Source organism: Homo sapiens, chromosome 3, assembly GCF_000001405.40.
Source record: "Homo sapiens chromosome 3, GRCh38.p14 Primary Assembly".
Classification (NCBI taxonomy): domain Eukaryota; kingdom Metazoa; phylum Chordata; class Mammalia; order Primates; family Hominidae; genus Homo; species Homo sapiens.
In genome coordinates, this window is record NC_000003.12 from 54,927,501 (window position 1) to 54,949,029 (window position 21,529).

The 21,529-nt window shown below is 44.0% G+C and overlaps 2 protein-coding genes across 3 annotated transcripts in view, besides 1 other annotated feature; one reads left to right on the forward strand and one right to left on the reverse strand.

The window, feature by feature from the left end:
• CACNA2D3 (calcium voltage-gated channel auxiliary subunit alpha2delta 3) overlaps positions 1–21,529 on the forward strand; it is a 952,006-nt gene that overhangs the window by 804,949 nt on the left and 125,528 nt on the right. The window lies entirely within an intron of this gene.
• The window catches only part of LRTM1 (leucine rich repeat transmembrane protein 1), a 48,872-nt gene that overhangs the window by 9,270 nt on the left and 18,073 nt on the right, over positions 1–21,529 (reverse strand). Inside the window, exon 1 of one of the 2 annotated variants that reach the window (NM_020678.4) lies at positions 405–559. The exons of the other annotated variant lie outside the window; for it this stretch is intronic. Coding sequence (NP_065729.1) covers positions 405–411 — 7 coding nt within the window. The 5' untranslated portion in view covers positions 412–559. Of the gene's footprint in view, positions 1–404; positions 560–21,529 lie in introns of those variants that run through there. 2 annotated transcript variants of the gene reach the window in all.
• Positions 11,589–12,089: an enhancer, noted in NCBI's record as "H3K4me1 hESC enhancer chr3:54973116-54973616 (GRCh37/hg19 assembly coordinates)". NCBI's record gives its function as "activates a minimal SCP1, AML or CMV promoter by ChIP-STARR-seq in naive H9 embryonic stem cells {active_cell/tissue: H9 hESC(naive)}" and the evidence as "EXISTENCE:reporter gene assay evidence [ECO:0000049][PMID:30033119]".

Consider the following 21,529-nt stretch of genomic DNA (forward strand, 5'->3'; position numbering starts at 1 on the left):
TTCTTAAACCAGAGAACATGTTTGCCGCAGAATCCACTGATCTATTAATGAAAGGCTTGCCTCTCTGAGATTGTAGCCAATTTGTTCATTCTTTCTTTGGTTCCACTTTTCCCCCCAAAGGAATAATATACGAACTCCAACTACAAGCACCATGTTTCCTATGAAATGGCCCGTGACATGCCAACTACATATTCATGTCATGACTGCATACATTTCTCTCCACCCTCTTCCTCTGCACCCAACATGCGCAAACATAAATCATTCCATGCAGAGACATTTTTCATATCTGTCCAGTCTTTTAAGACAGACGACTTGAAAATAGATTTCCCGCAGATACCTTTGTGAGGGGATACCATCTTTCTCCCAGACAAGAACTTTTCCAACGGGAATTGATCAGGGCTCACCTTTCATGACTGAGTCTCCTTGGGCGTCCTTGCTGACCTCGTAGACCCTTTAATTAATGTGCAGAGCAACACACGAAGGGCATGGCAGACTCAGAGCCCAGCTTTACATTCAGTCTTTCTGAACCCTGCCCTTGCTTTTCTTCAATGCAGAAAACAGTTGTTGCTTTCAAAAGACCATTTATTTAAGCAGCCCTTCCCCTTGTCTCCATCTGGCTGGGATCAGTTTCCATAAGAGGATCTTGGGATCGTGCCCCTCTTCTTTCTTAAAATGTTGGCCTCCCCAGGATCATCCCTGCCTTTCCCATTCAGACGATGAGCCGCGTAAAGAATGTTTGTCAAACCTTGGTGAACAGCTGTAGCATTCAAACATGACCCCAGTGCCTCGGCCTTTTTGATTATTTAATCTGCTTGAAGTACAGGGCACCAAAATAAAACTGCCTTCTTAATCCGGCTGTGGCTTCTGAATTCTGTTGACTTATTAACCATGCCGGGTCACCCCTCTTTGGGTTGGGGGATGCTGGACGGGACCCTCACCTGGGGGTCGAGCAGCAGAGCCCGCAGAGTGTGTAATATGAGGACAAATTGGCCTGCTGGAGGCTGACACGGTTTGCACCGTGCACTTCTTTGGTCATCGAAGTCTTATTCAGCCAACATCTGTGGGGATTAGCTGTGTTGACAGGGTCTTGATGCCCTGAAATTCATAGCCATGGTTTCCTTTAGTGGACATCACAACCTTCCTTCTGGTGCCACAAATAACTTCTCAGCTGCTTGCTTGCTTGCTTGCTTGCTGCCCCCACACCCCACCCACTCCCCAGCCCCCGAGTTGAATTGACCTTTTGGTTAGTGTGACTTAAGAAATACTTCTTAATCTTTCTTCGTTTCCCTGATGCTGAGGTCCTGGCCCTTCCCTCACTTTTCACATATAAAACAATAAAGCCGCCCCCTGTGAGCATCAGGCGTCAGTCGACTGTGACTCTTCTCTAATTGAAGCTTCAGGGAACTTTCCCACCAGGGACTGGAACCGTTTCTTTGAATGTGGAAATCCCCTGCCATTTGCTGAGGTGGGGTTTCAACCCCTGAAGCTGCCCTTCTAGATAAAACAAAATGTTCTGCTGTGTGTAACTGTGTGTACGCTTTTATGGAAGCAGCATGAAGTGCAATCCTTGGCTCCAGGAGGTATAATTGAGCCATTGGGTTTGGGCTCTGGAATCAGGTGGGTCCAGAGTCGATATTTGGCTCCACCATCACCAGCTGCGTGTCTCCAGGCAAGTGACTTACCCACCCAGAGCCCCATCTCTGACATGGGGACAACATTAGCCCTTACTTTACCAGGCTGTGCCCAGGATTAAATATGGCAGTACACGACATGGCCCAGAGTGTCTTCATAAGTGTTCACAATTTTGCATGAGAAAGGCTTTCAGGATTTGTATGCTGCCAACTTCTGAGGACAACCTGGACCGGTCAGCAGGAGGAATGTCCTGAGGGAGGTCTTGACAGAGGGCCATGGAACCTGGCCCTTCGTGCCACTCTGCAGGTACAAAGGGAAGAGGCCCTTTGTGAATGGAAGTTGAAAACATCAAATTTTGATTATTTTCAACAACCTGTACTTTGTGGACTCTTTCATCCTTTGGCCAAGCCCCTTGTCACCCCACATAACCCAGTATATTCATCCTGCCTCTTCCAGAAAGCCCACTTTACGCAACCTGCCATCTTTTGTCCTTCTCTCCAACATTTTTTTGAGCATCACACATACAATGGGCAAAAGTCAGGTGTAGGTGACAAAGCAAGTCAGGTGATGAAGAGCCACTTAAATCTTAAGAACTCAATGATTTCTTCCCTCCTTCCTTCCAATCCCTCCTTCCTATCCATCTGTTTCAGGTGCACAGAATTTAATGACAATAATTTCCATTATTAATGGAAATACATACATAACCATCAATGGCCCCCATTAGCATTCAATCATTAATTTATCATAACACAACAAACACTTGTGAACTTAACACTCCTTCTAAGAACTAGAAAGTTACTAATAACTCATATCTACCTGTGTGCCTCTCTCTTTCCCTGGGGTCAGAAACATTTTTTTGTGAAGGCCAGATAGTAAACATTTTAGACCTTAAGAGCCATCAGTCTCCATTGCAATTATTGGACTCTGCTGTTATAGTTTGGAAACAGCCAAAGACAATACATAAATCAATGGGTGTGCCTGCATTCCAATAAAACTTTATTTACAAAAACAGGTAGAGGCATAGATCGGCCCACAGGCTGTGATCTGCAAACTCTGGTTATCCCATCCTCTGGCAACTGCTCTCACTAGTCCACCACCCCACCTGTCACCCACCCTCAACTCCCACCACCCAGGCAAACATATCCACTCTCCTGTTGCCTCATCTATCAAATGAGGGGGTTGGGTAAGATGATCTTTAAGGCCTTCTTATGTCCAGAACCTTGTCATTCTGGTCAAAAAGCATAAATGGGATTGAAAGGCACTCTACTTACCAGCTTTAAGGGGGCTTAGACAGACAGAGAATTTAAATACCTCTTTAGGTTATAGTGGAGATATTTAGCTGTGTCTATAAGGCCCAGCTGGGATCCAGATATCTTAGACTTGGGGGCCTGAAAATGATCAATCTATTGACAGCACAATTGGATGTTGGAGGTCAAGACCCTGGCAGAGAACCAAAGGCAGTCAAGGACACTTCTGGTTAAAAGCTAAATGAAGAAGCACACTTTCATGCTGCTTATTCCCTAAAGTTCTATGGTCCTGGGAAAATCCCAGGCTCTCTGAGCATCAGCATTCTATCTGTAGAATGTAGATAATACCTACCTCGCCGGAGGCAGGGAGGATCAAGTGATACTTAAGTGCCTAGCACATATCTGGTAGAGCAAAAGATCCAAAGTGGCATCTTGGCCAAGCATGGTGGCTCACGCCTGTAATCCCAATATACTTTGGGAGGCTGAGTAGGTGGATCAGTTGAGGACAGGAGTTCGAGACCAGCCTGGCCAACAAGGTGAAACCCCATCTCTACTAAAATACAAAAATTAGCTGGGCGTGATGGTGGCCTTCTGTAATCTCAGCTACTCAGGAGGCTGAGGCAGGAGAATCGCTTGAACCCAGGAGGCAGAGGTTGTAGTGAGCCGAGATCGTGCCACTGTACTCCAGCCTGGGTGACAGAGTGAGACTCCTTCTCAAAACAAAACAAAAAACAAAGTGGCATCTCTTACTAGCAGCATGGATTTACAGACTTCAAAGAGTCTGAGCTGGCTGCTCCCACCTAAAACACGAATGCCCAGGAAACTCCTAGAGAAGCCCCAGAGCTAATGGGTTCCTGGCAACATCTGCTTACTGCCCAAGGGGTTTTTTTGGTTCTGTTTTACTCATGCTGACCCCAATTGGGGGTTAAAAGATGGACAATGCACACATGGCCTGGACTGCCCGCCCCGGACACTTGGATGTGGAGGCTGATTGATTTATTCCATCTGACCTCAGCCAAGAGAACAAAGGGAGGGTGTGTGATATGCATGCTAATGCTAGGCAGTGCCTTTTCTTTCTCCCTCCCTCCCGTGGTGAGCAGATCCAAGAGGTGGCAAGACAGCCATGCTTGCAAAAAGAGGAACCAAGGAGAGATGCTGAATGCAGCTCAGGCCAGAGCCACTCCTTAAAGAGGAGAACTGCACTATGAGGGTCTCCTGGCCCCAAGACCTGCCAGGACCCCAGGTTCCCACATGGGAGCTAGCTGCAGATGCACCCGTAGAGTAAAATTGTGTTTATATTCACACTGAGATTTCAAAAATTTCCAAGCTTCTGAGACATATTCTTTTGCCCTTTTTAAGCCAGAATGTTTTCTAATATGTTAGTCTATTTACCATTTAATTTCCCTGAAATGAAAAATCAATGATTATTAACCCTACAATAAAATTGACAATGTCTTGAAATCCAGCATGTAATAGCTCTTTCTCCCAGGCAATATTACACAGGTATTTAAAGAATAAAGGCCAGGCTCAGTGGTTCACGCTTGCAATCCTAGCACTTTGGGAGGCTAAGGTGGGTGGATCACTTGAGTCCAGGAGTTCAAAGCCAACCCAGGCAACATGGTTAAACCCCATCTCTACCAAAAATACAAAAAATTAGCTGGGTGTGGTGGTGAGCGCCTATAGTCTGAGCTACTCGGGAGGCTGAGGTAGGAGGATCACCTGAGCCCAAGAGTGGGCTGCAGTGAGCCGAGATCACGCCACTACACAGCAGCCTGGGCAACAGAGTGAGACCCTGTCTCAAAAAATAATAATAATAAATGAAAAAGAATAATTAGAACTAAATATACCCATCTGGGAGAATATTCATAATAAAGTGGGAGGCAAAATAAAGCAATTTGAATAGGAAGCATATTGTATAATCCCATTTATATTCAAAAAAGTGTTAGAGATGGAGGAATTAACCCTATAAATACGCGTTGGTTTGTCTGAAAATGGAATAAGTGGGAAAGGTCAGTCACCAAACTGATAATGCTGATTACTTGGAGGGGAGACTAAAGAAAAAGAGGGGAAAATAAATGTTTTCTGCTTATACTTCTGTATATTCAACTCGCTACAACAAAAATTAAGAAGCAAGTAAAGGCACATTTCCTTTACTGGAATATTTGAGATGTCTTATCTTCTAGTGACTGGCTGAGTTATCTGTGTAAATATAGCATGCCTAGAGTTTGCCTCCTCTCTCACCAAGAGAATTAGCCCCACAGGTAACATCTGTCTTTCTCTGCCAAGGGGTCTCTACGTGTGATGAGCCCTTATAACAAATATGAGCATTTCTCCCAATTGTAAGGTCTGCCTTGGTAAAGTCATGGCCAAGTGCTCCTCCATCCCTGTCAACAGGCTCCTCATCCAAACCATGTGGTATGGCGATCTAATGCCAGGGAAGGCAGCCAGGCCTAGTGACAGCTGCAGCCAGGAATAGTGGGGAGTAGGCCCTTGGCACCACAAATCCATGCAGAAATTTCGTTTGGTTAGAAAGAAAGTTTGACATTGGAGGCATGTGGATAATAGTGAAAATAGTTTCCTAGGAATTGTGGATGACCAAACGGCACCCAGGTACACAGTTTATACAGAGCTATTTTAAAGTTTTAATATTGTCTTCCATCCATCCATCCCTCCCTTCCTTCCTTCCTTCCTTCCTTCCTTCCTTCCTTCCTTCCTTCCTTCCTTCCTTCCTTCCTTCTTTCTGGACCTCTGCCTTTGGATTTACTATCCTATAAGAGATAGAAAAATAAGAAACATAGAAAACTAGGAATATATTTTAAAATGACAATCCCATTAATCATGTATTTAATGCTTACAATGGGGCACATAGTGCTAATAATTTGTATTAAAATTATGCTATTTTAACAAACAACACCCAAATCTCAGTGGTTTAACAGAATAGCTCATTTATTTCTCTTATCACAGTCTAGTTCAGGTTGACAGGGGCCTGGGCTCCATGGTGTCATTCAGGGACCCAGGCTTCTTCCACCTTTTGGCTGTGACCTCTTCTTGGCTCTCAGAGCCCTCTCCATCAGTTGGAAAAGGTACTTACCACTTCTGCTCACATTCTATTAGCCAGAATTAAATCACATGACCATGTCTAACAGCAAGAGATGCTGGGAAATGTTGTCTAGCAGTGTGTCTTGGAAGAAGAGGAGGCATAGCTGTTGGAGATCATAGCAGTTTCTGCCTCCACATTTTATTGCATTATCTCACTTTAAAGTGACAACAACTCACTAGACATTAAGTTTCAAATGACCTGTTTGTTTCCCATACTTTCTTCAAAACCCACTTAATAGGTTTATTAAGTAAATATTGAATGAATAAAGATATTACTATTACTTTTTTTTTTTTTTTTGAGACAAAGTCTCACTCTGTCATCCAGGCCACTGCAGGCTAGAGTGCAGTGGCCTGGTCTCAGCTTACTGCAACCTCCACCTCCCAGGTTCAAGCAATTCTCCTGCCTCAGCCTCCGGAGTAGCTGGGATTACAGGCACACACCACCATGCCCAGCTAATTATTTTGTATTTTTGGTAGAGACGGGGTTTCGTCATGTTGGTCAGGCTGGTCTCTAACTCCTGACCTGGGGTGGTCCACCTGCCTCGGCCTCCCAAAGTGCTGGGATAACAGGCATGAGCCATTGTGCCCATCCATGATGTTACTATTACTTTTGATACAAATTACAAAACAGGGACGGAGAAGGTAAAAACTTACCCAAGGTTTCCAGCGTTATTTGTTGCAAACACATGGATTGTGAGTACCAACGTTTAGGACAATATTAAGGGAACCTATAGTTGTATTCATTTTATGCCCTAAGGTCATTTTTTACACAACCCATTCTTTTGACATTAAGATGTAAATTGAATTATCTGGAAGCTCTGACTCAGGAGGTGAGAACATAGTTCCCTCTTGAGCCGTTCAGTGGAGAACCAAGGCTGCCATACGTTTTCTCTAGTAAGAAAGTGGGGAGGTTGTGTTCATCTCCTTGTTTTTTTCTTGCCCTTTTGATAAGGTAAGAATTCAGGTTCAAGGAATGCCTAGGATTATTCCGTTTACTGCATATGAATATCAGCGGAGTTTGAACTCCCTTTAGCAGGCCTTGAGTTGCCTGATAAAATTAGTGGAGTAGTGGGTTTGAAATGTATGCCTCCAGCCTCCCTAAAGCTAAGGAAGACAGTGGCCAAAATCTTTCTTTTCAGCATCCACGTGTCCACAGAGCCTAAGACTTAGCCAGGTTCTGTGTAGACTAGAAAAGATATTGCATACTGGTTCCTGGTCTTCAAAGAGCTCACCAGTCTGTTTTGTTTTGTTTTTTTGTGTTTTGTTTTTGTTGAGACAGAGTGTCACCTGTTGCCCAGGCTGGAGTGCAGTGGCGCTATCGTAGCTCACTGCAACTTCCATCTCCAAGGTTCAAGTGATTCTCATGCCTCAGCCTCCCGAGTAGCTGGGATTACAGGCACACACCACCACACCCCGCTAATTTCTGTATTTATTTTCTAGTAGAGACAGGGGTTTCACAATGTTGGCCAGGCTGGTCTCGAACTCCTGACCTCAAGTGATCCACCCGCCTTGGCCTCCCAAAGTGCTGGGACTGCAGGCATGAGCCATGGCGCCCAAGTCTGGAGGGTGCTATTTAGCAGTTTTCTCATCACCTTGAACCTGTTTTCCATGAGAAGACTGCACGTGATTTTGTTTGAACAAGGTAGGGTTTCCCTGACACTGTCTAACTCTCAGGGAACCAGTTCTTAGAAGTCCTTGCTGGGGAACTTCAGATGGTGGCAGAGGTAGACCATCTAAGTCTACCTCTGGGGTAGACTTGCATTTTGGGGGTTAATCCTCCCTATACTGTCAGGGTTAGAGGAAATACAGACTTCCCATTCCAATATCTTCCCAATGTCAGCCTTCCAGCATTCAGTTGTCCTGCACTCAGGACATGTGTAAAGATAAAGATGCATTTCAGATAAGTATGATTAAAGGTAATTAGTGAGCTCATGCGGCTGGTGGAATAAACATAGGCAGATGCTAGTTGACATAAAGTTAATGAAAGAAACAAACGGATCAAGAAACATGGCAGCTTAGGAAGCCTGGCCAAAGCCTCACAGTGACACGTTGTTTTACTTAGATCTTTTGAGTGGCTACTTTTGTCTGTGCCCCAGGAATATAAATTGGAATCAAATTCATGTTCATGTTTGATTGTTTGCTCATGTTAACACATGAAATGAGTGTTTTTTGCAGTTCTTGTTGTTGGGTTTTTATTTGCTTTTGTACTTTTACTATAACGTGATAGTTCAGTTTCTGTAATAGATTACAATGTATGTTTCATATTTTTAAATTATAGCTTACTGTATGTATATCATGAAGCAATAACAAGTCTGTGTTATGCTTTTTTCTCTTTAAGGTTTGTTCTATATGAGTTCTTTGATATATACATAGCTTGAAAATGCTCTGGAAAACAGTTAGTCTTAAGCAGGACTTAGATTGTAGCCCACATTACACATCCTGCACTTCAGGAATCCCCTTTGTGAGTCCAATCATTTCATTTTAGAACAGTGTTCCTGCTAAACACATGGAATCTGGAGTGAAACCATCTAGGCTCAAAAATACCGCCTCCAACATTTACTGGCTGTGTGGCCTTGAATGAGTTACTTAACCTCTCTGATCTTTAACTTCGTCATCTGTGCAAAGGAACCCAGCTTGCAGATTTATGGAAAGGGTTAAACAGTTTTTTATCACGAGAATCATAGCAAAAAAAAAAAAAATCTTTTGCACATAGTAATATACATTAGCTAGTATCTTCTATTATTGTGTCTATAGGTATCAACTAGGTACTTAGATTGTATCTGCTTGAACTAATCTGCTTGGTACAAAAACAGGCAAGTTAAATGCAAAGGAGTATTCTGCCCGTGGACAGAGCTCCCCATCTTTTCGTATTATAAAGCCTTTGTGTGTGTGCCTAGAATCAAGTGCAATCTCAGTGAATTTGTGCTCTACATATCTCTGCTTGTCATCAAAGTCGCTCCACAAACAAAGGAAAGTTGATTGTTAGTATCATGCAACTACCACTTTCATGTGGGATGTTTGTTAGCAAAATAAAGGCCCTGCCTTGACTTTGCTGCAGCCTCCATTCAGGTTTATAATGGGCACCTTCCCCTTCTGGTGCAATAGTGATGTTCTCATCTTTTCTTTTAATTCAAAAATCCCATATTGGGTTACCTACTACATGCTCGTGCTGTGATTTTTTAAGGCTTCCCTGTGGACCTTGTCTCCAGTCAGCCCGTCGCTAGTAGGAGGCCCTCTTTCCCATCCTTGCATAATTAGAGAAAGCATGTAGTCATCTCCCCAGGGCTGCTTAGCTTTCATCATGAAGCATGACTATCAGAGTTTTGAGGTTGATAGGAGTGGAAACATTGTGTTCAACAAGCAAGCTCCTTCATGTGTTGTCAACATTTCATTTGTGATTCTAATGAGGGCTGAGGAGAAAATAAACTCCGTGTATGCTCTCACTGCTACGGCTGATGTTTATAAGTTCCTATCCATGGCCTCCAGTTGCTCCCACCATGAAGGCATCTGGAAAGGCAGCTGAGTGCCGCTGTGTGTGAGGAGGTGCTAAGGTGGTTAGATTTGCTGAGAAAGAGCAGTGCCCGTGTTCACCCCTTAGAGACTGGTGTTTCTCTATTTTTGGTGCTTTCCACTTCTGAAGGTGAAGACACCCTTACTTAAAAATAAGGTGTGCTCAAGGGACTCTCATTCTGGACCCCTTTGTGTGTATTCTTTCTTGATGAAAGAAGTATCTACTGAGTGTTCCCTACCTGCAAAGCTCTGTGTTTGGGAATGTCATAGGCATCAAAATAAGACACAGCTCAATGAATGGACCTACAGTCCAAATGGCCACTACAGTGTAGAAAGGGGACAGAAATTCATTATACCACTATGCAAATACAGTTGTCCCTCGGTATATGAGGGGGATTGGTTCCAGCAATCTGTGCTTGCACCAGTCCTGCAACTGGCCCTGTGGAACCCACATGTAGGAAAAGTCAACCTTCCAAGTATCCAGGTTTCACATTCCATAAATTATGTATTTTCCAATCTGTGTATTAGTGGACCTGTGCAGTTCAAACTCGTGTTGTGCAAGGGTCAACTGTATATGAAAAAGTACAGCCATTAAAAGTGCAAGGAAAAAGAGGTACATGGTTCCATAAGAGAATGCAGTCTGGCAATTCAGCCTGAGAGGTGAGGGCAGGCATCCCAATGGATGTTATAGCCAGGCTGAAATCTGAAGTACTAGCCAGAATTTACCACAGAGAGGGGAAGAGACGAGGGCCATTCCAGGTAAAGGCATGGCATGTGTTACGCTGAGAGGCCAGTGAGATGGCACAGCATCTTAGGGACTAGCAGAAGGCGGGCATGATCACAGCACAGAGGGTGAGGAAGGAGCTTGGGCAAGCAGGTGCTGGAGAAGGGGTGAGAGGCTGGTTGCTGTCCCCGACCTCATCTCCCGGTCACTTTATTATTAATATTGAAAACCATTGGTTTTCACCATCTGACCATAACCAGAGAAAAGCCCCTTGCTGTCCCTCAGTATGCTTCTCAGAGGAGGTAAAGAGGATGTTGATTTCACAAGCATTATGAAATCCCCGTACACGTTTCTCAGATCCTGAGCTTTGATGTGGAGTTGGCAGTTGTGGGCAAATCCTTTCTGCATGTGTCTGAGGGGCAGCAGAATGGCAGAGTTGCATTCTCACCACATCAGTGCCTGGGTCCAGTGCAGTCAAGGAAGAACCAGCCCTGCTGGGGCTCCAGTACTGCCTGGATGGGACGTAACATTTCCTCCTGTGAGTTTGTGTATATGTTAGTGCAGATGCAAACACTGCAGCAGACCAGAAGTGGCAAATGAGTGTTTACGTCCTGCAACTACCTGCTTTGTGGCCTCATGGCAACCTTGCTCAGCAGCCCCTGGGGCCATCCATGGCCTCAGAATCCTTTCTAGTCCAGTGCTTGAAGCAGACAGTATTAGATAGCCAACTGGTGGCACCATGCTAACATAATCCTAGTTGGTGTTCCTGTAGTATAGATCCTTGCCATTTGCAAGTTTGACTAGCCCAAATGCCCCTAAAGTATATAATACAAAGCCAAGCATCATTTTGCTGAAGGGAGAATTTGAATCATGCCCTGGGAAGCTATTGACCAAGCCCCCTTAGTTACCCCCACCCCCAAATTATACATCTTGATATAGACTCAGTGTCTTCTCCTTGTCCTGTGACCATGGTAATTTTTCTACAGTGATAAAAATAAATTTTTATTTTTAAAAACGTCTTTCAAGGGAAACACAAAATTTGAGAGCATGTTGAAAAAGTTGTTGTGGTCTGTGCATTTGCACAGGAAACCCATGGCTTGCGCTAGAAATATGATTCTAGAAAAGTCAGGGTTGAGTTTGGGCATGTGGACAATCCCCATTAGTGTGCCATGGGCAGTGGACATGCTGTCCCGCTGAAGCTGTCCCAGGAGAGCATGTGCATTGGCCTGCAGAAATGAAGTACTTAGTCCAGAGGAAGTTGATCTGAAAAGGGTAGCACACGTTAGACAGCAAACTGGGACCAAGAGGAAACTGTGATGCTACCTCTCCATTTGGGATAATGAGGCACTGTTATTTAGCAGTTTATTATTTGGTTAGCTTTTCCTCTGTCTAGATATCCAATTTGTTGGACACAGTGCATCCTTAAACTCTCAAGGCTGAATCCAACATCTGAAACTCTTACAACCTTCCAGAAGTTCTCAGACACAGGGTGCTTTACCTGGAAATGATCATGTTATTTCTCCACCACTCCAGGGTAGGAACTATTATCTTCTACATCTTACTAAAGAGAAAATTGAAACTTGATGAGACTGACTCACTTGCCTGAGACCCAATTTCTAAGGGGCAGAGCTGGGACTTGAACCCTCATCTGCCGGACTTCAAAGCCTTTGAACTACTCTGCGTTTTTATCTCATCTTATTCTTCCCAGTCCCTTCCCCTGGCATGTGGAGAAATGCAAAAGAAGGGCCAAGACATTCACCTTTGTAGGTTCCCGCTGCCCATTTCTTCAGGGAGGCAGGGCCACAGGGAAAAGAGGGCAGCCTGCTGTCTGTCTGCTGTGGCCAGGGATTGGGCAAAGTGTGCTGGGGCCGGAGGTGGGGAAAGCAAGGCATTTTGTGCAGAGAGTTAGCAATAACCTGGTCCATCCCCCAGAACGGAGCTATCAGTCAGATCTGGGACACATTTGTCATGGCTGTTTCCCTATTCAGAAGCCGCCCCTGCAGGCCCACCCTCTCTTCATTGCTGGGCAGGAAGGAGGGAACTCCCTTTGATCTATAGACCAGTAGCGGGAGAAGCATGGCATTTTGTGGGCCTGCTCCTGCCCTTCGGCCCACATGATTGTTTGGACAACCACATGAACAAAAGCCGCTGGCCATGCTTGCTTTAGAGCATCCAGAGTCTGAAGATAGAGCATGCCCTGGAAGAAAGTGGAAGTGGAATGACCACTCCCTTTCCATGATGGATTTCTAGGTCATAATGCAGAGGACAGGATGCCTCTAGGACTCCCATCTGAGCAGATGAGCATCTCAGAAAGAGGGGTGGAAGATGGAGAAGGTGGAGCTGACCTTACAGCCTTCCCACTGGACAGCTCAATCTTCTATGGTCAGGAAAAAACCACACACTCACCACATTGGTGTCTAGTCTCAGGCCACAGCCCCACACTCCCAGTAAGAAGCATTTGCCTGGAGACAGATTAGCTAACTTTTGAGACATGTGCACAGTTTTAAAAGTAGATGGGTAGCTCTTGGAAGACTGCAACTATTTTCTACTTATCCTTGAGAAAGGAAGATTTTTGAGTCAAGTAATTCTGAATAGGGAGCAACTGTCTTCTAAAAATATATTCAACTTCCCTGTAGTATAGTATACTTTGATGTATTAAAATACAGCTCATCCCACTCAGATTACTGCCTCGGTGCCTAATGCTGTAAAATTAAACTGTTCCTCACTGATATTTTATTAAGCTCCACCAACATTTCAGACACAGACAGCTCACAGAGCTTCGGGCCATGTGTTTTATTTGCTGTCAGGGTGAACTCTGACACCAGTCCGTAAAGCCCCCTCCCCTTGTCTTTATATAATGCAGCATTTTCAAAAACCTTGCTACAGGCTACTCCCAAACTGTCACTATTGGAAGTGAACATCACTAGTTTTCTGGGTGTGAATGCCTAAAAGGACCAAAAAGAAGCAAACAATAAGGCTGTTGTATGAAAAGTCTTTGTACTCTGGACGTTCCTTTTGCATTTATTCTGTGCTTGATATTATTCAGTTTATTTTTGCAGGTTTTGCAGGGGAAGGGGGCTTTTTGGTGGAATTTTTCTGAAACCCATATGCAAAAAAGGGCATATGTTTATGGACAATGAGTTCACCTCCCTAGCAGGGAGCCAAAGGTATCTGTATGTTTGCATCTTGAAAAATAAATGGATATAGCCATAAATGCCGATCCTCTTAACAAGACTAACTTTGTCATTTAATAAGGGAGATTATTTCATAGATTTAAAACCAGTTAACACATTTAAAACTTGATAAGGCAATCCTGGTATGTTTCCTTTTCTCCAGTGATTAAAGCAAATCAAACACTGGACTAGGGGAGGTTTTCCATGGTACGAGTAATGCCGTGAATGTTTCTCCTGGTAATGCAATTAGGAAATATTGGCCCCAGTTAAAGTAACTTAAACAAAACATGTTGTCCTCATCAAACTTGTTCAAGTTGTTAAACAGGCAAAGCCTTGTCCAAAAAGTAAAAAAACAGGGGCATATAGTGTTTCCATGGAAACTCTGTTAAAATACTGATTTGTGGATATGATCATAATCAGCCCCATAATCTAATATGACTGAATTAAATGAAAAAGAATCTCAGTTATGAAGTAAGCCCCCTGTGTGAGAGTATTCTTACACATGCAGAAAACATATGGATCCTGACGGACGCTATTTTCAAACTACTTATTGGCCCAGGGATGGGGCTTTAAGACTCCAGTTTCATCTGTCGTTTTCCCCCTCCATTCATTGTTCATCGTTTTTATAATGCCGGGATTATGTGGGTGAGCAGTAAATAAAATCTTAACGACATTTGGGTTTTTCAATATCTATCATTGCTCCCCTCACAATGCCCCATATTGTTTTCATTGTCTTTTGTGACAAGACAACCCATAACATTTAATGGTTTGTGGGATGTTACAAGTTTAAGTTTTATTAAAGTAATAATTTCTTCCTGCTAATGGGATCTTGGTAGAATTCTAACCACGAGGGTTCGCATGGATGTCTTTGACCTCTAGAGGAAGGGACATTAAGTCAAAGGCTAGGGTGAGTCCCTTGGGTCTGGGGAGAGGCTTCAGGGACATGCATTGGCCTCCTCCCTGCCACACAGTTCTGCAGCTCTGTTTGCACCTGTCTCGGCTGTAGTAAAAATGGAAACTGCTCACCATGGGATAAACTTCAACCTCGTGAAATGGCAATGACAGCTGCCTTTCAGTAAACCTACTTGATTTATTTGAAAATCATTCCATCCAGAGATCATCACAAGTGGTATTCTTGGGATCAGTTTCTTTCTTGTAAAAATGCGTCCTCAGTCACATAGGAACTTCAAATAGGGTTTACCAAGGAAGTGTTGGCTAGAGCCTGGCAATCCTTTGTTACCTTAGCCATGGCATCCCAGAGCATCTGCAGAATGATTTCTGCAACAGGGCAGTGATACAACCGTGTATCTCTGCCCAGGTGTGTCAGTGCTTTTAACGCCAGCCCATGGTCCCTTGAAAGTCCCAGCATGGCTAAGACTCACCTTCTGAACAGGCAGTCAGTCAAAGCTCAAAGATTCAGACTCTGGCCCAAGAAGTAGGGGCTGACCTCTCCCCCTGAGTTCTGCCATCCCCTCCCACAGTGGCAGCAGCCTCCACGAGAGCATGCACACCTTCTGATTTGGGCACAGGGAGAAATAAGCGAAGAGGGAAATAGTTTTAGGCCTGAATCTTGAGGCTGGGACCTTGAATCTGCTGATTATATGCTCCTCTTAATGCATCTCTATTTCTAAGTAACTTGGTTTTATAGCAAAGTAATATATGAATGCAGTTTCTAAAACTTAAGTGGTGCTAAAGATGTTTTAAAAAGAAAAAGAAGCAGGAGCCAGGCATACTGGTTCACGCCTGTAATTCCAGCAGCTTGGGAGACTGAGCCAGAAGGATCATTTGAGGACAGGAGTTTGAGACCAGCCTGGGCAACATAGCGAGGCTCCATCTCTAAAAAAATAAAAAAAATTAGGCCAGGCACAGTGGCTCACACCTGTAATCCCAGAGCTTTGGGAGGCCGAGGCGGGTGGATCACAAGGTCAGGAGATTGAGACAATCCTGGCTAACACAGTGAAACCCCATCTCTACTAAAAATACAAAAAATTAGCCAGGCGCGGTGGCACGTGCCTGTAGTCCCAGCTACTCAGGAGGCTGAGGCAGGAGAATTGCTTGAACCCAGGAGGCGGAGGTTGCAGTGAGCTGAGACTGTGCCACTGCACTCCAGCCTGGGCGACAGAGCAACACTCCATCTCAAAAATAATAATAAAATAAAAACTCAAAATTAACCATGTGTGGTAGCAGGTGCCTGTAGTCCCAGCTGCTAGGGAGGTTGAGGCAAGAGGATCACTTGAACCCAGGAGTTCGAGGCTACAGTGGACTATGATCATGCCACTTCACTCCAGCCTGGGTAATAGCAACACGCTATCTCTGGTAAAAAAAAAAAAAATGAGAATAATAACAATGTTTTTTAAAAAAGAAAAAAATCATGCCCTGATCCATCATTCCCAACCCCTATTCTCACTTCCTAGAGGCCACCACTTCCAACTCTCTTAGTGTCTCTGTTTCTCACTGTCAAGTTAAGATTGCCGTTTTTTAGTTAATTTTAGACATGTGTATTTACTTCCTTTAATACATGGTGCTTTGGACTTTTTACACCGGCTCATCCTGCCCTCTTCCTATTCCACCAACATGACTGTATGCCCATTTCATTGTTCTTGATTAATTAGTCAGCGAATATATTATTAGGACAATCTATGTACATTCTCTATTATTTTAATAGCATGGTATGTGTTTTCTTTTTTATGTTATTTTTCCCTGGATTAGAAAATCCCCTGGTCTTCTTATTGCTTGGTTTTCCTTCTACTCATCTTAAATTTTCCCCCATGTGTTTCATCAGATGTCTCAAATATGTATTACTACTATTTTCTAAATGTTTGGTATTTCTGCCTATTTCATCTTGCTTTGGTGAGATCTCCCTCTCTGTGTCATCCTATTTCAGTCCGGACTAATAGCTCTCTAGGTTTGCTGGGCATGCAGGCACCTAAGACTTCTCTTCCCTATTTTTCTCTGTCATCTCCCCCTTTCTCCTAAACCCTCATGCCTTCTTTTTTTGACTTAATTTCTCATTTAGGTGATGAACATTTTCCAGTAGTTTACTAAGAAAGGGTGGTAAAATTTCCTCCGACCTTGTAGCTCTGAAAAGGTCTTCATTCCATGCCTTCGTTTCCTAACCATTTGACTGGCCATAGAATACCTGGCTGAAAATCATTTTGAATTTTGAAGGCATTGCTCCATTTTCTTTTGACTTCCTGTGTTGTTTAGGAAGTCTGATATCATACCATTTCCATATCCTTTGGTAGGAACAGGATTGCCCAGCCTCCACCCTAGAAGCTTTCTGCATGTTCATTATGCCAGGATGCTGTGAGTTCACTTCATTCATTGTGCTGAGGACCTGCGAACTCTTTTGCTTTAGAAATGCATATCCTTCAGTTCTAGGAAATTTTCTTAGATTATTTTTTAGGTCTTTTTGTTTTATTATCTGCCACGTTTTCTTTTCCCAACATATATCTTTCTACTTTTAAATTCATTTGTATATTTTGACTGTTTTATTTTAAATTTCCCAGGGTATTTATTTATTTATTTATTTATTTATTTATTTATTTATTTTGAGACGGAATCTCGCTCTGTCGCCCAGGCTGGAGTGCAGTGGCATGATCTGGGCTCACTGCAAGCTCTGCCTCCCGGGTTCACGCCATTCCCCTGCGTCAGCCTCCTGAGTAGCTGGGACTACAGGCGCCCACCACCCTGCCTGGCTAATTTTTTTGTATTTTTAGTAGAGACAGGGTTTCACCGTGTTAGCCAGGATGGTCTCGAACTCCTGACCTCATGATCCGCCTGCCTCAGCCTCCCAAAGTGCTGGGATTACAGGCGTGAGCCACCGCGCCCAGCCTCCAAGAGTTATTTTTTATAGCAGCCTTTTCTTGTTTCAAAGACACAATAACTTCTTTTATCTCTGAATATATTGACTGTAGTTAGAGCTGGGGGTGTGTGTGTGTGTGTGTGTGTGTGTGTTTGCTGTCTCTGCTGTAACACTAACTCATTTAGTTGTCTGTTTTTCTTTCTTTTTTCAAGGTGAAGGCTCTCCCCAAATATCTGTAGCCTAGTTCACTTTTAAGAGTGAGGCACTAAAATGCAGATTGAAAGTTTCTCCACAAATAGACTTTACTATTGGGTGAATCAATGAAAACTTAGCCAAACTGGAGAATGGGGAAGATGACAGTAATTCTAGGCCTTGTTTGGGGGCTATAAGCTTGTTTGTCAGCATCTGAGAGCTGGGCAGGGAAAGGAAGGTTAGGAATTCCCATCAATCAGCATGCAGGTACTCATTTTCCCAGTTCAGCCCCTCCTCCCTCCCTCATCTGAACATTAGCAGTTTTTCAGGAATATATAAGTTGGTGTCTGTGGCATGTGCAGCAGAATACATGGTGTTGATACCTGCTAGTATTGTGCCCTCCAGTCTGTCTGTGGCAGTGGTTAGAATTGCCAGGGGATCTGGCTCTCCGAGCCTTACTCTGTAGTATCTTGGCCTCGAAAGTGGCCAAGTAGGGCCACCCTGTCTTCAAATGCCATCTCTTTTTTGACCTCTCTCTCCTGTATCCAGCCCAGGCATGTATCTCTTTTTCCCTAGGAGCCAATGAGTGTCTCCAGAGCAAGAACAATGTCTTTTAGGTGCCTATCCATAGGAAATACAGACTTTGAGGAGGCCTGGACTTCTTTCCATTCCCTCCCACTTATTAGCACCATAACCTGGGGCAAGTTATGTAAGTTCTTCAAACTTTAGTGTCAGTGCCTCTCAGCCCACCCAATGGAATCTCAAGCTTATCCAGTGCAGTCAGTCCCCAGCCCCACCAAATGCAGGTTTGACAGTGGTTCCCTATCACTACCCCATTAGGTGTCTATAGGCAGCCTTGCTTTTTTCAAGATTATAGGTGTCCTGGGCCATTGTATGTTGGGAATCAGGCAGGGACCAGGCAGGGTTTGCAGCATGCAGAGAAGTTATTTCTGCCAGGTAGTCAGTGGGCAATGCAGCAAAGCTGAGGTAATGCCAGGCGTAGGTAGGGTGGTGGATGGCGGGGGCCATCCTCGTTGGAATAAAGGAGGAGGCCTGACCTCTATCCCGGCTCCTGCTCTTCACAAGAGTTCTTTGCCACGCTTATTCGCCTAGCTCTTTCCAAACAGCAGGAAAACGAGTACCCTGCCTCATTATCACATTTCCTTGGTTCTAAGATGCCATAAATAGAAGTGGAAGCTGCTAAGGAAATAAAAAGCAGTATGCATTGATGTGCCTGTCCTGAAAGACTCTCAGTTCTATGGAATTCCACCTCAGTGTCTTAGCTTCTCATGTTCTTTCCCTGCCTCTCACTTTGCCTGTTAATGCTTACCTCCACCCCTAGCTTCAGGCTGCAGGTTAAAAACCATTTCTCCCCCAGTCCCCAGGACTTGGTTGAGTGCCCCCTCTTATACTCCTGTACCCATCCTGTACATGTCTTCAGACCACCACAATGGTTATTGGTTGCATAATATCTGTATGCCTTCAGAGATTTTAGCCCAGGGAACACCTGAGCTGTCACATCCTTCACTGTGTCCCCAGCACAGAGATCCTCAGTCAGTATTTGTTGGATGAAGAGAATATAGAGAGGGGAAGAAAATGAAAGGAGGGGGGATGTGAGGGCCGTTAGCAGCAGGAAAGAAGAGAAAGCCTCTTAGAAACAGCCCTTCCAGTGGAAAGTTTGACTTAACGAAGAAGAGCAGGTTACTTTCACCAAGGCCTTGTTGCAAAATGCCAAATAATGACAGGAGAGCCGTCCTTTCATGGAAGCTGGGTGCAAACCTGGGGGGAGCTAGCATTTTGGCCAACCTCAGAAAAGCATGTTGCTTTGCTCACTTCTCCACTGGATGCAAAGAATCCAATCCTTTCTTAAACACCCGAAATCATGGAAGAAATGAAAGGTAAGACATACAACTTTGGAAGTAGATGTGGTTTATTAAAAAAAAAAAAAATGATGGGACCATTTAGTCCCTGACTGAGAGTACTCTTAAGGCATGGAGCTGTAGTGTGAATGATCTTTATCTGTAATTGTAACACTGTGTCAATAAAAATAGTTAAGCATTGTGAAAAATTAATCTGCCTGTGACCATAGTGCATTTAAGATGATTAGAATTACCTGGAGAGCCTTAGACAAGTAATTGGGTCATCAATAATCTTTTCTGGAACCCCATAATGAAAGTGATCTTCCATTCTAGGAAAATACTATAATACCAAAACTAACAATTACTGAGCTCTTACTGTGTTCCAGACACTGTGCTTGATCCAGTTTTCATCATCATAATCTTAAAGACTGAGCAGAGGCGGGTTAAGTAACTTGCCTAAATCCCTTCCACAGCTGGTAAGTGGGATCACTGGATTCTAATTCTGAGCCCACCTTTACTCTATGCTGCCTCTTAACTTTTCCAGTAGACCAAGAAACAGAAGAAAAGGGTGGAATAATCTTCCAAGCAGTGCTAATGCAAACCTAAGAGACAGAAAACAAGGTGTATAACAGGCTCTGGTTAGGACTTGCTGAGCAGGGAGAAAGAAAAAGAATACCAGGATTCCAGGTGATCTCAGCTGGCATCTGCCAGTGCAGGATAGGACTTCTCAGGAGGCACTGAAGCATTCTCCTGTGTACCTGCAGGAGAACCTATACTGTTGAGTCTGTGGGTTAGCAGCATATATCCACAAAATTTTGAGTGCTAGATGTCCCCACAGTGGCCTGATGCCCTGGGAATAGGCCTGATTATAGTATGGAGATAGTGGAGACTTAGTAGCAGGCAAAGGAAATTTTTGCTCTGGCTATACCCCATGAAAATAAGAGGTCCTGACTCTTATCAGTCAGGACTCGGTCTTGGGAACAGAAGTTACCCTATGTATTCCAAATATGAAGGGCTTGGATGCTAGCCCTAAGGCAACTAGAAGCTTTTATAATCATTGCAATGTTTGGGGATGTGGGTCAGGAAGCATCCATGTAAATGGTTCTCTAGCACTCACTAGGGAGCTGCTTCAAACCTCACATCTGCCAACAAATTTGCCTGCAGCTGCCTCCAGAGCAACATGGCCTCTGTCTCTTTGCTGCCTTCTAAATCTAGCACCAGCTCCTTATTGGCAAATGCTAATCTGGAACCACAGATGGGGGAGATTCCAGGAAATGCAGTCTTGGCCTTTCTCCTTCAATACAGGGCAGACCTTCTACGGAGGAGATGGTGATGTCCAGGTGAATATCACCCATCAAGTGCTCTCGACCTTCCTATGACCTCAAATTACAATGACATTCTATTTCTACTTCTCCTCTCACCCCCAGCTCACTTTCCCCTGGTTGTCTTGACTAGAGAGTGAGATAGGAAACTTTTTGACTAGAAAAGTATGTGTGATGTGAGCCCAAGGTCCATTCCAGGTGACCTCTTGAGAGCCCATCCAGATGAGTAATTCTCTCACTGTATCACCTCACACCTGACCTCAGTAAAAACTGGAAGATTCTTGATAATTGTCATTAGAAAAAAATTAAAATGCTCCCAAGAGGTTAGCAACTAGGCCCTTCATGGGCATATATGTGTTTGCCTTCTTCATTGTCCAGAACTTGGTTACTAAGAGCAGTTCAATGGCCTATGTACATTCAACTAGTATGGGCAAAGGTAGCATCTTCCTGCAGTGGTTTCACCATGAGCACCTCTGCATGATCAGCTAACTCGGTACAACTGGATGATGGTCATGGTTGCCAGGCACACTATGCTGGAAGGATGATGAGACTCCTTGGAAGGAATACTAGGTTTCATGAGAGACACTTGACATGAAATAGGGAAGGGCACCATTCATGCCACAGATTTGCCTTTCATGCCCATGCTGTTGTCAGCTATTGTATTTGACTGTCTGCATGGAGGTGCTTATGTGACAGATCTCTATACATGAAGATAATTTGCTCATCTCCTACCAAACTAGACTACAGTTGCATCTGTCAGGAGCTGTTTAGTGCAGGCAACAACCACCAAACTCAGATTGGTTTAAGCAAAATCAGTAAATTAAAGGAAGTTGATTATTTGATTATTTGGGGATGGTTGGAAATACATTGTTTCATGTAACTAAAAAGTCCATAGTTATAACCAGCTTCAGGTACAGTTGGATCTGGGGCTCAGCTGAAATCACCAAGTTTCTCAGTCTCTTGTTT